Here is a 17,172-nt window from a genome sequence, read left to right on the forward strand (position 1 = left end):
CTGATGGTAGAGTATTTGTGGAGGTTGGGAACTGGAGGGGAAGGAAGCAGATCTTGAAATGGAAAGGAATGACCAGGTCTTCAGGAGGCTCCTTTCCCCCAAGCCTGTAACACTAACATCTTTCTGGAAAGAGAGCTGTCAAAGTCAGGCCCTGTCACAAAAGTTGTGGTTGCAGATTGCTCTTGCGGGCAGAGTGGATAAAAAATACCTACTGCTTGGGCAGTGTTTTCCTGTTACAGTAGTGACCTTGACAGAAGTTAAAAAAAATAAATAGCAAACAATCCAATTTTGGCTGTTGCTATCAGTCTATAACTGAAAGCTCCCATCAGTCCTGGGGTTTCATATGGAGCAATAATTCGGCGCCAATCCCAGTGGAGTGACACTTGCCGGTTGGAATCCAGAGTGTCACTGTGCAGCTCCCTCAGGCGCCACATACATCACTTGGCTCTGCCGACTTCAGCCATAGATCTGCTTTTTCCTCCTCCCTGCCCACCCAGCCCCGCTCAGCACTTAGGTCCACTGGGCTGGAGGCTCTGATGGTGAGATGCATACATACTGGCTGGGACAGTGCTGACTTGCAGTCGGGCAGGCCATGGAAGGAGCCTGAAGGGATGGAAGCTGGCTTGCAAGGGTTTGTTGGGTCAGTTTCCTCACTTCCCTTCAGTGATGAGTTCCAGAGTATGCCTGCCTCTGGGCCTTTGCTGACACTATTACCCTACTACAAAGGTCTTCTCTCTTCCCACCAACCTCCAATGTGGTACTGTCTAGGGAGTCTGTTGTAAGGCTTTGTGCCTACCCCAGACCCTGGGACCTCTGGTACACTTAAATAACTTCCTGTTTGTCTCTCCTTCCTGGACCATGAGGTCACTGGTTACAAGACCATGTTTATTTCTCTCTATAGTTCCAGTGCCTAGCAAAGGGCCTGGCTCACAGCAGGCGTCAATTTGTGTTACTAACTGAATAAATGTGACTACCGTTTGTGGAATGGCTGCTGTATGCCAGGCACTGTACTCAGCACCTTATACACAGCATCTGCTTTAATTCTTTCAGCTGTCTCCATCTGAGGTTTGGCTCTTCTTTTGGCTCACAGTGAGGCAAGTTGTGTACAAAAATATGCTTTGCTCCAGACAGACCTGAGTTCACCCCTCAACTTCATCTACTTCCTAGCTAGCTGACCTTGGGGAAGTTAAGCTCCCAGAATCTTAGTTTTCCTCATTAAAACGCAGGATAGTATTCATAGTTTTAGCCTGTAGGATCCTTGTGGAATGCCACAAGGTGAGGATTAAATGAGATAATGCATTAATATATAAGTTCTTAGCAGAGTCTCTGGCACATAGCATTAAGAGGTAGTCTGAGTGACCAAAATGGCTACCTTCTACCTAACCCTTATTAAACCTTTGATAAATGTGACTCCTCTTCTCCTTCACTGCATTTTGATAACAGACTGTCTAATCTAGTGCCTTTTTGTTTTTGGTACTGGAATCCTTTAACTAATTTAATTGTGGGTGGAATTCCACAGATAATAAGAAGAGTTACCCTGGCTCAAGCCGAAGCCATGAGCCGAGTCCACTTGGTTGCTACCACTGCCCCAGAGGCGGCTCTCGAGGCTCCATCTCTAGGAACCCTAGGTCTGCAGGGTGCAGTCTCAACACTCACCCGGCTCTAGAGGTGCCTCCACTGCCTGAGGTGGCTCATCTTTGCTGTCAGTTTTCCTTACGTGATAGAGAATTCCACCTCTGGGTACCTTCCATCCATTGGTCTGTGGGGCCTCACATAACGTATCTTTTCCCTTTGCCACAGGCAAAGTCTAACATAACTTTTCTTTCCACTTTGTTGATTTGGGTATGACCAGTGTGGCCTCCCTGAGTCTTCTCTGGGGAAACACTTCTACTTCCTGTAACTCTTCTTCAGTGTCATGGTTTTAGGTTGTTTGGTATTCCTGTTTATTTCTTGGGCAAAGGAAAGGACTCCTTGACTTCTATGGAGGTGACAGGTGGGGTGGGGAGAGTTATACCGTGAACTGGTTAGTTTTCCAGGAGCTTTCTAGATGGTCTTGGGAAAGATTCAAACCATGGCCTAAATTTCAGTACATTCTGATTCTCCCCAGCCTGGAGTCCCAGATATCTATGCCAATTCACTAAAACCTCAGAAAATGGATCAGACTTCTTGATAAAAATGTAAAGGACACTGAGATTAAGCCAGGCAGGCAGAAGATTACTGCTTCATGCTCTTTTCACAATGCTTAGCACAGAGTTTGTGCTAAAAAACATATGAAATGAATGACTGACTTCTTTTATTTTATATATATATATTTTTTGAGACAGAGTCTCACTCTGTCGCTGAGGCTGAGTACAATGGCACTGTGTCGGCTCACTGCAACCTCCGTCTCCTGGGTTCAAGCAATTCTCCTGCCTCAGCCTCCCAAGTAGCTGGGATTATAGGCACCCACCACCACGCCCAGCTAGTTTTTATATTTTTAGTAGAGATGGGGTTTCACCATGTTGGCCAGGCTGGTCTTGAACTCCTGACCTCAGGTGATCCACTCGTCTTGGCCTCCCAAAGTGCTGGGATTACAGGCGTGAGCCACCGCTCCCGGCAATGATTGACTTGTGCCCAGCCTTGTGAAAGGCTAGCCAGTGGAGTAAACTAGAGAAGGAAAAATACTTGAGATATATATATATATTCTATTTGGAGAAGAGGAGAAAGAAGGATGGGAGGAGCTTGGTAAGGGCTCTATAAATACTATTGTTCCTGTCTTTGAGGAGATGGGGAGGAAGGCTACAAGACGAGTTCAAGGCTCTGCTCTGATAGGGATCCACTAGAGAAGAAGAGAAGGCAGGAATTCAGCCTGCAGAAGCAGAGGGCACTGAGCTGAGAGGCACCGTAAAGGAGCCACCCAGGAGAGCAGGAGTCGGGGAGTGAGCATCTTCTTAATAAAAGCCACACACAATTAGCTTCAGAAGCCCTCACCTGGAGCCATCAGCGACCAGCTTCCCATGCTGCATCTTGGCTGGGTAATTGCAGTCACTGGTTTCCATCAGTCTTGATTTAATATGGCACCCCTCCTGGCTGTGAGTGCATTTACAGGAAAGGGCTGGGAGGCCGAGGCGAAGCCTAGCTGGGCTCGCTTTGCTTAGAGGTGGGTGGCTGGGCTGAGTGGCTCTGCGGGGGAGGGTTACAGAAGGGATATGGCAGGCATCCCAACTGTTGGGCATCCCTCAGGGCAGAGGTCTGACAGTGAATCTGCCAGTGTGTTCACTGAGGGGGCAGCTGGAGTAGGCAGAACAAGACCCTGGGCAAGAATGGGAAGGTAGGTATGGAGGGGGAAGAGAAGAGAGGCCAAGCTGCAGTTTGCCTCTCAAGGGGAGGTCAGGCCTATAGAGTCCACCTGCTACTCATAGATAAACTCGGGTATGCCCCATACTCCTGAATCCCTGACTCAGATGGTGACTCATATCACAGTCGGGGCTTCTACCATGTCCTGAAATGGTATGACATAGAGGCCTGGGAAGGGAGGTCAACAAAGGGAACAAGGGGGTAACAGATGAGATGGTGGGGGTGGGGATGACGATGGAGAAAGCCTGGTGGAGGGGAATGATAAAAGAGGAGCCCAGGAGTGCCAACAAAGAAGTCTAGGGGATGCAGAGCAGATGGGAACACAAGACTGGGAGATGAGAGAGGCACACAAGGAATTTGAAAGTCTCTTAAACTAGTCCACAAAGGACACATCCCTGTAGAGGAAGGCCGAAAACAAAGCAGGTGTCAGCCCCTTCACACTTGGTAATCACTAGGTCGGCATCCCAGATTCCATTCTCCTCTCTTCCAGTCCATCCTCCTTTTGCTGCTAAAGCCAATATTTTAAACATGTAAATCTGATCATGTCACTCCTCTGCAAATAGCTAGGTGGATCAGAGACAAGACTGATGAGAGAAGGTTGAGGGGCAAAGAGTGGCTAAAGTGAGAAAATGAGTTTGTGCTCGTCTCAGGTGGAACTCCTGACCTCAGGTGATCCACCCGTCTTGGCCTCCCAAAGTGCTGGGATTACAGGTGTAAGCCACTGCGCCCGGCAATGACTGACTAAATTTTAAAGACATGAGCCATGTGCCCAGCCTTGTGAAAGGCTAGCCAGTGGAGTAAACTAGAGAAGGAAAAATACTTGATATGTATATATTCTATTTGGAGGAGAGGAGAAAGAACGATGGGAGAAGCTTGGTAAGGGCTCTATAAATACAGGCTACTACAGGCATCATATCAGAGACGTGTGATGTTGATTTATCTCATAACTGGTAGTCTTAACTTCGATCACTAGGTTAAGGTGGCGGCTGCCAGGTTTCTTCACTATTTTTTTTCCCTTTGTAATTAAAAAGTATCTTGTGGGGAGAGACTTTGACACTGTGTAAATATCCTGTTACTCCTCAAACTTCAACTCATTAATTTTAGCACTCACTGATTTGGGACTGGGTGTTTTAATCCTCATAGCCCTATGAAGTTGATAGTATCATCATCCCCATTGTACAGAGATTAAGTACATTCAAGCAAGGTTCTACTGGCAGCGAGTATAGAGACAGAACAGTAACCCTTGTAGTCTGATTCCAAAGCCTGCACCGTCCACCTGGAGATAAGGAAAGACTTGCCTTCAGGGAGTTCAGTCTGTTTAGGAAGATGAGACTTAAAACAGAAACTTTCTATCTGTTAGAAGTATTAATGCTTCTAGTAAAGGGCAACTTGATACATTTATTGAAAATAAACCCCACAGGGTGTTCTTGCCAGAAATGCATAATCTGAGTTTAATCACAATGAAACAGCAGATAAACCCAAATTGAGGGACATTTTACAAAATAACCAACCTGCACTTGTTAAAATGTCAAGGTCGGCTGGGCGTGGTGGCTCATGCCTGTAATCCCAGCACTTTGGGAGGCCGAGGCGGGCAGATCATGAGGTCAAGAGATCGAGACCATCCTAGCCAACATGGTGAAACCTCGTCTTTACTAAAAATACAAAAATTAGCTGGGCGTGGTGGTGGGTACCTGTAGTTCCAGCTACTCTGGAGGCTGAGGCAGGAGAATTGCTTGAACCCAGGAGGCGGAGGTTGCAGTGAACTGAGATCACACCACTGCACTCCAGCCTGGTGACAGAGCGAGACTCCATCTCAAAAAAAAAAAAAAAAAAGTCAAGGTCATAAAAGTCAAGGAAAGACTGAGGAACCATTCCAAATTATTATGTTTTATTTTTCTTTTTGATTTCCACATCATAACGTTTGGACCATTCCAGATTAAAGAAGGTTAAAGAGACATGACAACCGAATGCAACTTGGATTTTGAAACTGTCTTTTCTTGTAAGGAGAATTATTAGGACAACTTGTGAGATAGGAATAACATCTGTAGATTAGTTAATATCAATATTAATGCCCTGATTTTGATGATTATACTGAGGTTCTGTAAGAAAATGTCATCTTTTTTTAGGAAATACATACAAATATTTAGGGGTAAAGGAGCATCATGTGTAAACTTATTCTCAAATCATTGAGAAAAAAATTATATATATATCCTTATATGTATTATTTATGTACATAAATAATAAAGCAAGTATGATAAGATGTTAATAGTTGGGAATCTAGATGAAGGATTTATAGGAATTAATTGTACTATCTCTAAAATTATGCAAAAATAAAAGTTAAAAATATCAGGATAATGCCTACCCTTGGGGGATGAGTCTGGAAGGGAGTCTGAGGCAGGCTTTTGGGGTGCTTCTAATAGTCTGTTTCTTAATAAGGTGTGTCTTGTATGTGAAAATACAGTGATCCATACATTCCTGATATGTGTATCTTATACAAGTATATTTCAATAAAAAGCTTTTAAAAGTTAAAAAAAAGGCCAGGCATGGTGGCTCATGCCTATAATCCCAGCACTTTGGGAGGCCGAGGTGGGTGCATCACTTGAGGCCAGGAGTTTGAGACCAGCCTGGCCAACATGGTGAAACCCCGTCTCTACTAAAAATACAAAAATTAGCCAGTTGTGGTGTGGCCCCTGTAATTCCAGCTACTGGGGAGGCTGAGGCAGGAGAATCGCTTGAATCTGGAAGGCAGAGGTTGCAGTGAGCTGAGACCGTGCCCTGCACTCGAGCCTGGGCGACACAGCAAGACTTCATCTCAAAAAAAAGAAAAAAATAAAAATAAATAAAAGTTAAAAAAAGGGAAAGAGAAAGTTGGTCCCTAAAAAGCACTTAGCACTGTATCTGGCCCATACCATAGTAAGCCACAGGGCCAAGTACAGAGCCAGGCACATGGCAAGCTGGCACCTGTAATGAGAGGCAAAGCAGAGAATGGGTTGAGTGAGGCCAAGGGGAGGAAGAACATAATCCTCCTACCCTCCTGTGTGCTCCCCCTCTCTCCTCCTGTAGGGCTGCACTCAGCTCTGAGAGGAGCACCCAGGCTCTCAGCCTGGAATGCGGGCCCAGGGGAGCATCACATCCCCAGCTACCCCTGAAGCAAATGAAAAAATATAGATAGGAAATGTGCTTGTGATCCTGTCACTGGGATATGCAAATAAAATATATAGGATAGGCCTATCTGCCTAATATTCCTGCCGATGCATTCTTTGGGTGTGATTAAAATGAGCAATAAATTCCTCGTGAGTCTCGGTGCAGTGAGGATTGGGAGTGGAGATGCAGGCTGGCACGAGCACGTTCCCCTCAGCTGAATATTCATCATGGGATAGCTCCACATATTTTTGTTTTATCTGCTATCATGTCAACAGAGATATATTTCTACCTCTCCTTCATCTCTTAGTTAAGACATGAAAATGGTCCTGGCTTTAAGTATTAAACTCTCCATCTATTGAAATCCTTCAAGGTGAGATTACAGGCTACCTCCTCTTTGAAGCCTGCCCTGCTCTCTCTGCCAGGAGGTGATCCACGCTTTCTTGGAGACTCTACCAACTCTGCGAACCCTCCTAAGACAAATCAGTCTGCAGGTATCAGAGCTAAGAGTGCCTGCCTCTCCCCCAGCCAGATGGCAAACTCAGGGACAGGGGCTGGGCCTCATCACCTCTGGATATTCTCAGGGGGCCTAAGGAGGCTTCGGCGCACAGAATGCTGAGAGAACTGAGGAAGCCAACAGTGAGGGACACATCATTCAGACCACTTAAGGTGACAGAGATTCTAGGGTAAATGATGCATTTTAAAGGGCAGAATTAAATAAAAAATTAGGCTTATGGATAATTTTAAATGGAAAAATCACCAATAATATTAAGTGAATAAAAACCAAATTCCAAATATAGAATAGGATTGTAACTCCTTCAGGGCCAAGTAGGAAACAAAAGTGTCTGATAATCGAGGACATAATATAAGAGGGAATGGGGGGCCCTGTGGCTGGACAGTGCACACTCCCAATCCCCAAGGCATTACCTTCACATTTTTGGAAAACTCTGGGTGGCTATATAAAATGCGGCTGCCAGTCTGAGACTCCTGGTATATATGGTGGACTGTCAACCACATTTTTTACAAAAAAGGCCATCTATATAACTATACATAGATATGATCCAGAGAAGGCTAATACAGTATCATAAGAGGAAACCTATTGTTCAATTCCTAATAGTCACTTATAACAACTTGGTTTTCTGTAAATCATCTGCTTGCTTTCCTGCAGCTTTAGTTTTCCCATCTGAAACAGGGGTAACAAGAACTACTTCACAGATTTGCTACAGGGTTAGAAAAATATGTATTTGAGCACCTGGCACACTACCTAGATGCATTTGATAAAAACAGTATATATCATTGTTATAATTAATTAAAAATATTAATAGTGGTTATGTCTTGGTAGGAGGGCTAGAGTCTTTGAATTAAATTCAGCTCAGTTGTCATCTCTTCCAGGAAGTCTTCCTTGATAAGTCATACCACTGATGACTCAGTGGTGTCATGGTTTACTTGCCTGTCTCCCTATCAGACTATAGCTCCTTGAGTGTTTTACTCATCAGTCTTCTTCCCATCTAGCCCAGAACCTGGCACATAGATGTCATTCATAAATATGTACTATATTATTTATTTCTCTTCATTTTACTTTTCTGTATCTCTAAAACTTCTATAATGGGACATACAACTTTAATACAAGTTTTCTATGAGCATAATTTGACTACAGAGTGGTAGGTGGAGGTGGAGGAGGCTGAGCAGGGTGGCAGGGGGATGCTGAGCAGAGAGAAGGGGAGCCAGATAAGATCAGAGTGACAGCAACCCATGTCTAGACAAAGAGCCAGGAGATGGGGCCCAGGCTGGAGCTTCAGCAGCCTCCAGGCCTGAGTCATTATGTTACAGATGCAGGGCCTGAACTCAGAGGCAGCTGCTTCTTACTTACTGGCAGAGGGAGAAGAAACCAGGTCTAAAATGGTGTTCTTCCCACAAAAGCCTGCCTCACAATTTTGAAGAGGAAGCTTTTTGCAGTTTGGAGGAAAAATGCAGAACAGAATGAATGGGTGACCAAGTAGATGCTGAACAACTCAGAGAAAGCCAATGCCGTTGGCATCCAGGGAGGGCTGAGGGGTGCTTCACATAGGTAGAATCTGATGGGACAGCAAAGCAATTAGGTGGAGATGCTCAGTGGACACATTCAGAATGGAGAAAGTCCAGACTGGATGAAGGGATCAAGTGCACAGAGTGACAACGGATGAAATGATCTTCCAGCTGAGAGCTAGGGAATCCCTGGACTGGCTCCAAGTGGTCTTCTTAGCCTCTAAGGCAGCCCCTCCATGGTGGGACAGCTGTGTTAGGGGCTCTTCCCTGAAGCTGCTGCCCAATAAGCCTAGCCACTCTGGCTCTGCCATGGAATAAATCTCACTCCCTCTCACTCAGAGCTGTTTCTATGCTCTTCCTCTTCTGGCCAGATGCCCTATTACCATCAGCTTTCTCTCATGGCATAGTTCCTCCTGCCACCCTACTGCCCTTTTCTGCACAGATTCTAAGAGATCAATGTCTACTTCGAATATGGTGTCTGTAATTGCCCTCCATGCTCCAGAAGGGTCTGACTGGCACAGGGGATTGCAACTGCCATTTGTTCACTCTGGACATTAGCCCTGTAATAATGTGGCCAACTTCAAGCCACTTCCCTTGGGCAGCTAAATTTTGTGAAGGGTCCCTCAGTGGGCCTAACCCCTCCACCAGCGCTGGCACTAAGGGGCCTGTTCTCTTGCTTCAGTGGCCAGACCAGTACCTGCTCTATGTCACACAAGCTCAAAAGCTACAGGTACTCTTGGCCAAGTCTAGGGCTGGTCTCTCAGGCAAAAGCCACTGGGCTTGAAAGGGGAGCTGATGATGAGCATGCAGTCCCTAAGATTATGCACAACAGTGCTGAGGGATTTCCTTAAGGCACTTAAGGAAGTTGACCTGACCTCCTGACCTGCTCCTAGGACAGAAAAATCTGAACAAAAGGAAAGAAGCATTTGCCCTCTGAAATTTAGTAGTTCTTTCTGGTCACAAGGGCCCCCGGGGATGGGCTGTGAAAAGCTAGTCACCCTTCCTAATTCCTTCCCTTCTCCAGAAGAAACTACTGCAAAACAGTTACTAAAAATACCAGGGAGGCAAACTCTGTATGGTTCATGTTGATTACCAAATATTTCCAGCTCTCCCATTCTAGGCACATGGTAGGATCACTCTTCTTGGCCCCCCTTATGATTGGTTTGAAACATGGGATTAGTTCTGGCCAATGAATAGTGAGTGGAAGAAAAGGATCCTCCTTCTAGGCTGAGCATTTAACTGCAGATGTAAGACCCTTCAGAGCATCCTTTTCCCTCTGGCAAGCAACTAGCAACATTCCAGTGGGTGGCTGCTCTGCCTGCTGGGATCCCTAAGTGCCTAGGATGAACAGAGTCTGCCCCTCACCCACAACCACAAGGAACATGCAACATAAGGCAAAAATAAATCTTATTTTGTTTTGTTTTAAACCACTGAAATTTGGGGTTGTTACAATAGCATAATCTAGCTTATCCTGACTGATCCATAGACAATCATATGTTGCCTAGAACATTAGAAACCATTTAGTACAATGTTTTCATATCACAGAAGACTGAGCTTTAATGAGGGGATGTGGTAGCCCAAGGTCACATGGGCAGTGAGTGGTGAAGCTAGGATCAGAACCCACATCTCTTCAGTCTCAGTCCAGGGAGCTAAGTGCTTGGACTCAAGACAGAGAATATTTGCCACTAGGTGGGACCTGCCACACTGAATCATCTCAAGGTACTTCAGCCAATTTGTGGATAACAGACTCCATGAGGCTGGAAAGGGCACAAAAGTCAAAAACCAGGTCTTCCAGTCCCCGTCCTGCCACTGAACCTACCACATGACCTGTAGTCAAGCCTATTATGTTCAGTTTTGATGCTAACTCACTCTGGGACCAAAGGCAAGCCACATCACAGCCCTGGGCTCCAGTTTCTCCAGGAGTAAAATAAGTCAGCTGATTTAGGTTTCAGAGATTGAAACTTGTGGCAACAGCAGAGTCCCCTCAGAGGCTGAGTGAAGGGCAGGAGTGAAGGGCAGGCCACGTGGGCAGTGCTCTAGTCCATCTCTCTCCTTCAACTCGAACAACTCAATTTTCCTCTGATTTATTGGCTTATGTTTTTGTAAGATTTCCCATCACTGGACTTGATTTCTAAGGTCCTTGCCAGCTCTCAGATTTGTGATTCTAGTTCTTGGATTCTGTCCAGTAGTTCCTGAGTTACAGCTCTGTGGCTGGGAGAGGTGGAAGACTTAGCCCTGTTTTCAGGAGTTCAAAAGTTTGGTTGGGAAAACAGAATTAGAATGGAGGGTTTTTTGGCTCAGATTCTATACTAGGCTTTCTGGAGTGTGTGTGGAGGGGAGGGGTGAAGGAATAGTTCTAGAAAGAATGATGATAAGAAAAGATTGTTTGATGAGACTGTAGAATACATGAGGCCTAGGAAAAATATGACCAAAATCTTTGCTTGGGCTAAGGATTTTGTCTGGCTAGAACCCCCTCCTCTGAAAAGGACCTGGGAGATCCATCACTTCATAAACCAAATTTAAAGGTAATGCTCAGAAGCCAGAAGTGGCCAAGGCCGCTCCCTGGTCATGATAGGGGCAGCTTCCTATTCTTGATGAGACTGGGGGCTGGATTTGTATTTAAACAGATAATAATCAACAGATAATAATACAGATAATATCTGTATTTAAACAGATAATAATCACCTAAGGAGAAGTGGCCTTTGGTGTAAAGCCTGACATAATTTAATGAGTGAAGGATTAAATGATGCATGGAGTACCCACAGGCCTCCTCCCTTCCCTGAGACTTACCTTGGCTTCAGAAGTCCTCAGAAGCTTCATCACTTCCCCTTCTCGGGCATAATCCAAGGGTGTGTGTCCCATTTCATTCCTCTGCAGGGGGTTGGCTCCTGGCAAGAGAAGAAGGATAAACAGAGGCTCTATGAACGATCAGTGGGACCTCAGCCTTCCCTTGGAGGTGGCTTAAGGCTCTGATTTCTATGTTGGGAATGTCCATGGACACCTACAAATGGTGGAAAAACATGGTACTGGGGCTCCTACATGTGCATGCACACATGTTCGATAACATACTACACACACGTAGATGTGTTATACATACACAAACACACACAGTTGAACATGCTAAGAAAGTATGCCAAACAAATACACAGGTTAATATACCGCAGCACAAATACATGTAAACATACAATTTCATACATGTATTCATTAAAATGTCCATATTTTCCAACATATCAGCATACAGATAAACATTCATTCATGAAGCCATATAAAGGGTTCCTTTCTAAGGCAGAGAATATCCCAAATAACAATTAAATGGTTCCCCTTCTTTGTTTTCTGCTACTCTCCTTTTATGCTCTCTGACCTCTGGGCATTTCCTGTCTGTCTGAGTCAGCTGAGTCCCCTGGAAGGGCATGGGCACCACCAGCAACCTGTCTATGCCACTCTGGCTGTTGGTGGGTGAGTGCATGTGGCTGGGTATTTCCTCCAATCATTAGTTCCTGTGACTTAAGGACAAAGACTTTGAGTATGACAAGAAGAAGGGGTTAGCTTGGGGCCATGTATCTACCTTCTCTCTAAGTACTGGCAGCTGACAAGCCTGTATCAAGTGTCTACTTTGTGCCAGCCTTGGCAGTTATGGAGGAAAGGTCACTCTGACTCTGTGCTGTCACAGCCTTCCCAAAGCCCATGTGTAAGCACCTCACTCTCTTCTTCGAAAACCATCCATTCCATTCAAGTCGGCAGACCCTGAATGAATGGGGCCTGAGGATGCAGAAGAATCAGATCTGGCCCTGCCCTTTAGGGAAGGGCAGGAAGACAGAAACATAATTAGAAAGCTGCTTTGTACACAGCAGATGCTTAATAAATGTGTGTTACACAGAACATTAAGGTAATAATTATCTAGTATTTTTTGAGCTTCTCTCTTGCTCAGGAAGTACTGTCTGAAGTAAAGAAGGTTAAGACTCAGTCCCTGCCATAGGATAGAATGGGCTGGCTGGGAAACCAATTAGCACAGGGCATGGCTCAGGGTAGGTGTCCAGCCACTGTTGATGTACAGTAAAAACCAGTATTTCTCAATCCAGTATGTGAAAACATTTATATCATGATACAGAAGTATTCCTATTGCAAGTCTCTACTTTAAAAATTTTTTTATTAAAATTTTAATTAAAAATTTTTAATAAAACTTTTTTAATCAAAAAAATTTTTTTTGGCCAGGTGTGGTGGCTCACGCCTGTAATCTCAGCACTTTGGGAGGCCAAGGCAGGTGATCACGAGGTCAGGAGATTGAGACCATCCTGGCTAACATGGTGAAACGCCATCTCTCCTAAAAAATACAAAACATTAGCCGGGCGTGGTGGTAGGTACCTGTAGTCCCAGCTACTCAGGAGGCCGAGGCAGGAAAATAGTGTGAACCCGGGAGGCGGAGCTTGCAGTGAGCAGAGATCGCGCCACTGCACTCTAGCCTGGGCGACAGAGCGAGACTCTGTCTCAAAAAAAAAAAAAAATTTTAAGAGACAGGGTCTCACTATGTTGCCCAGGCTGGTCTTGAATTCCTGGGCTCAAGCAATCCTCCTGCCTTGACCTCCCAAACTGCTGGGATTACAGGCGTGGGCCACTGTGCCCAGCCACAAGTCTCTACTTCTTCTTTTCTTTTCTGTTTTTTTTTTTTTTTTTTTTTTGAGACAGGGTCTCACTCTGTTGCCCAGGCTGGAGTGCAGTGGCGTGATATCTGTTCACTGCAACCTCCACCTCCTGGGATCAAGCTATTCTCCACCTCAGCCTCCTGAATAGCTAGGATCACAGGCATGTGCCACCATGCCTGGCTAATTTTTGTATTTTTAGTAGAGATGGGGTTTCATCATGTTGGCCAGGCTGGTCTCAAACTCCTGACCTCAGGTGATCCTCCAACCTTGGTCTCCCAAAGTGCTGGGATTATAGGTGTGAGCCACCATGCCCAGCCACAGTCTCTACTTCTTAAAAGACCCTATCAACTTATGAACAACAGTAACCATTTATTAAGCATTTACATGTGGCTGTCTGCCTGAGAGGCAGAGGAAGTGGCTAAAGCTCTATAGCGATGTGGGAGGTGGAGGGGGAAGGGGCAGGCCATAGGAAATACAATCCAGGTGAAGGAAACTTTTATTATCAGTAAGAAAAAACTAAGTTTTTTTTACACAGTACTATCTTCTAACAGGAATTTAGTGCAGAATATTGATAAATATATTTTTTTTTATTAAGATACAATTCACACACCATAAAATTAAACCTTTCAAAGTATATAATTCAAGGCCGGGCACAGTGGTTCATGCCTGTAGTCCCAGCAATTTGGGAGGCTGAGGTGGGCGGATCACTTGAGGCCAGGAGTTCGAGACCAGCCTGGCCAACATGGTGAAACCCCATCTCTACTAAAAAAAAAAAAAAAAAAATTAGCCAGGCATGGGGGCACATGCCCGTAATCCCAGCTACTCGGAAGGCTGAAGCACAAGAATTGCATGAACCCAGGAGGCAGGGGCTGCAGTGAGCTGGGATCACGCCACTGCACTCCAGTCTGGGCAACAGAGCAAGGCCTTGTCTAAAAAATGGAAAGGAAAGGAAAAAGGAAAGAAAAAAGGAAAGGAAAAAGGAAAGCAAAGGAGGTATACAATTCAGTGGTTTAAAATATACCATTCCAGAACATTTTCACCCTCCTCCAAAAGAAATTCCCTATCTATTATCAGACACTCCCCCTACCCCCAGCCCCAGCAACCATTAGTTTACTTTCTGTCTATGGATTTGCCTATTCTGGATACTTCCTATGAATGGAGTTGTATAATATGTGGCCTTTTGTGTCTGACTTTTTCAGGCTTACCAGAATGTTTTCAAGGTTCATCCATGTGGTAGCATGGCTGAATAATACTCCATTCTGTGGATATACTACATTTTGTTTTTCTATCAGGTGATGATCGACATTTAAGCTATTTCCCCTTTTTGGCTATTATATAAACAGTGCCATGAACATTCACACACAAGTCTTTGTGTAGATGTATGTTTTCATGTCTCCTGGGCAGATAATTGGAGTCATGATGTAATAATAGTAACACTGGTATTTATTGAGCACTTACTCTGTGCCAGGCACTGTGCTCGGTACTTTCTGAGGGATGGGAATTAAAATCCCCAAGCTACAGGCTCAGAAAAGTGAAATAACTAGCCCAAGGCCACAAAGCTAGCTTTATTTGCTTGAACTAGGAGTAAAAACCACCCCCAGGTTTTCCTAACTCCAATTCTCTACTCTCATGAGGGCAGCCACAATATACCCCTGATGAAAAAGCCTTCAGTTGGCCTTTGCTTTCAGGACAAAGTGCAACCTCCCTAGGAAGGAGTGTGTCTGTGGTCTTCCTAACTACTGGGCAAGTCCTTAGAGGCTCAGCCAGAGCCTCATCCTTTCTTTCCATTCTGTTGGCACTTACTGGGCACTTTATATCTGCAAGCCTCTGTGTGCAGGATGATGAAGGATTGGCAGAGCCAATGAATAGTTTCCCTCTTTATATTTCACGACTGTTCTGTAGCAACTGATACCTTGGCCACTCTCTCCTTTGAGTTCTATAAAACCACTTTTCAGGTTTTCTTCCCACTCTTGTGACCATTTCTTCTGTTTCTTTTGCAGACTCCTCTTCCTGTCTTTAAGATTATTAGGTGCTACCTAGAGTTCGAGTCCAGCACAATTCCACCTCTCCAGGAGCTCATGGAGACAGGAGGTCACAGACTGAGTGTCATCAGTGTGCTGAAGGAGGGACAGGCGGCACTGGGGGGCTCAGGAAGGAACAAAGTGCTCAGGGACTTGTTCGCCTAGCCTAGCCTTCCTGGCCCAGCCCCACTGAGTTGCTTTCTCTGGCGCTCAGCACTGAGCGGCTCTGCAAGGGCTGAGGAGCCAGTGGCAGACAGCATCCTCCCCTCCCCGCAGAGCTAAACCACAACGGAGGCAGAAAGGGAGCTGCAAAGAAGCAGTGGAAAGGTCTGTCCTTTCTTAGCCTCAAGGGGAGCTCTGTCACTAGATATGAGCTGCAGTGGAAGGGAGGGTTAGGGAGAGACCTCTGGAAGGGGAAGAATGGCAAAGAGAAGAGCTTCTGCTTTGGATAGGAAGAAAGAAATGGGAGAGAGAAGAGGAGGGGCAAGAGGAGAGAAGGTGACAGAGGAAGACAGTGGAAGAACGAACAGAGTGAGATTAGCCTCTTCAAACAAGTGCTGTCAGTGATCTATATTTGCTTACAGAATGAAAAATGTGTGCCATAAACATTGGCCACTGAGTAATTTCTAGTAGGAGTCGTGTCACTTCTCATAAAGGATGGGATGGGGACAGGTAGGACATCTCTGCACCTGGGCCAGCCAGCACAGGGGCTCCTTTTAAAGCAGTACGGCGCCTGTCTCCAGCCCAGGAGGCTCTCAGGTCAGGCTCCACCTGACCATTCACGGAGAAGGCTCCCCAAGGTTCTGGAGCCTCAGGGCAGCATGTCTGCCCCCACTTTAGGAAGGCTGAGGCAGGGGTACCATGGATAGTGTCCATCTAATATTAGTACCCCAGCCCTGCACCCTCGCTCTGACTTGACTAATTGCTGTAATAATTGATAGAACCTGACTTCTACCACTGATCGATTTCACCTCCACGACCAACGGCCACAAACCATTACAGTCCAATAAATAACCACGTTGGGCCTCACCCGCCTGCCCTCTCCAGGGGCATCAGGATGGCCCGTGCCCTGGCCTGACCTCCCCTTGCCTCCCACCCAGGGCCCCTTCGGGCCAAGCAGCTGGTCTAGAGGGCCAGGCCTCTGGGAGCAAGTGAAAGGGCTGGATGGAGGTGGGGAATGCTAATCGCAGGTCATCCGTCACCTCCCACTGGCTGTCTGGGGCTGGGGCAAACACCTGGAGCACCCCAGGCAGTGTGGTACAGGACCCCTCCCCTCCTCTCCCTCTCCAGATTAGTGTGTCCCAGCTTATAATATTTGATAAATAGCAGACTGGCTTCCTGGCAGCACTGCTGCGGCTGCGCCTGCCCGCTACAGCTGTGGAAGGTCACTCATTGGGGAAATATGTTTCTGTCAGTGGTATTGAAAAAAGTTTAGTGGAGTGACAGGCCTCAATTTTTCAAATTTTATTAACTCCATCCTCTTAACCATTTGTCTTGAATTCCTTCAGATTCTGGGGGATCTGTCAATAGGGCCTAGGCCAGGAAAGTAGTGTGGGGGGGTGGGTGGTCGTGGGGCTGATGCTGATTGGTGCCACTATGGCTGGTTTGGACCTCATCACCCAGGGCAAGGTAAAGCAGTGGCAATGGTGTTGGTGGGAGTGAAGGCCTGGCTCACTGGTGCTGAGGGAGCCCACTCCTCTTCTCTGGTTCAGTACCTGCTTTTGATTTGACGCAATTATTGACTCTCCAAGTGGAAAAATGGTGAGTTCTTCCAATTCCCTAAGAAGATACTCCCTTCTACTACATCTCAAACGGGTGGTCACTCGGGCTCCTCTGAATGTCCCCAGTACCCAGCCCCAAGCTCATGGCTCTCCCAGGGGTGTCCCCCATTTAACTGAGGGCAGATTTTTCATATATGAGTCCCAGATTCTCTCACCAACCCCACTTCCATCTTGGTTCTGAAAACACCTGTTCATCTTTTAAGACTCAGTCCTAGCTTCTCCTCCAGG

General features: G+C 45.9%; 1 protein-coding gene across 8 annotated transcripts in view; it reads right to left on the reverse strand.

Moving 5' to 3' along the window:
• Positions 1–17,172, reverse strand: part of CLPB (ClpB family mitochondrial disaggregase) — a 149,037-nt gene that overhangs the window by 32,920 nt on the left and 98,945 nt on the right. For all 8 annotated transcript variants that reach the window (NM_001258393.3, XM_005274320.2, NM_001258392.3 and 5 more), the window contains one exon: positions 11,293–11,390. In NM_001258393.3, coding sequence (NP_001245322.1) covers positions 11,293–11,390 — 98 coding nt within the window. The remainder of the gene's footprint in view (positions 1–11,292; positions 11,391–17,172) is intronic.

This window comes from Homo sapiens, chromosome 11, assembly GCF_000001405.40.
Source record: "Homo sapiens chromosome 11, GRCh38.p14 Primary Assembly".
NCBI classification, from domain to species: Eukaryota; Metazoa; Chordata; class Mammalia; order Primates; family Hominidae; genus Homo; species Homo sapiens.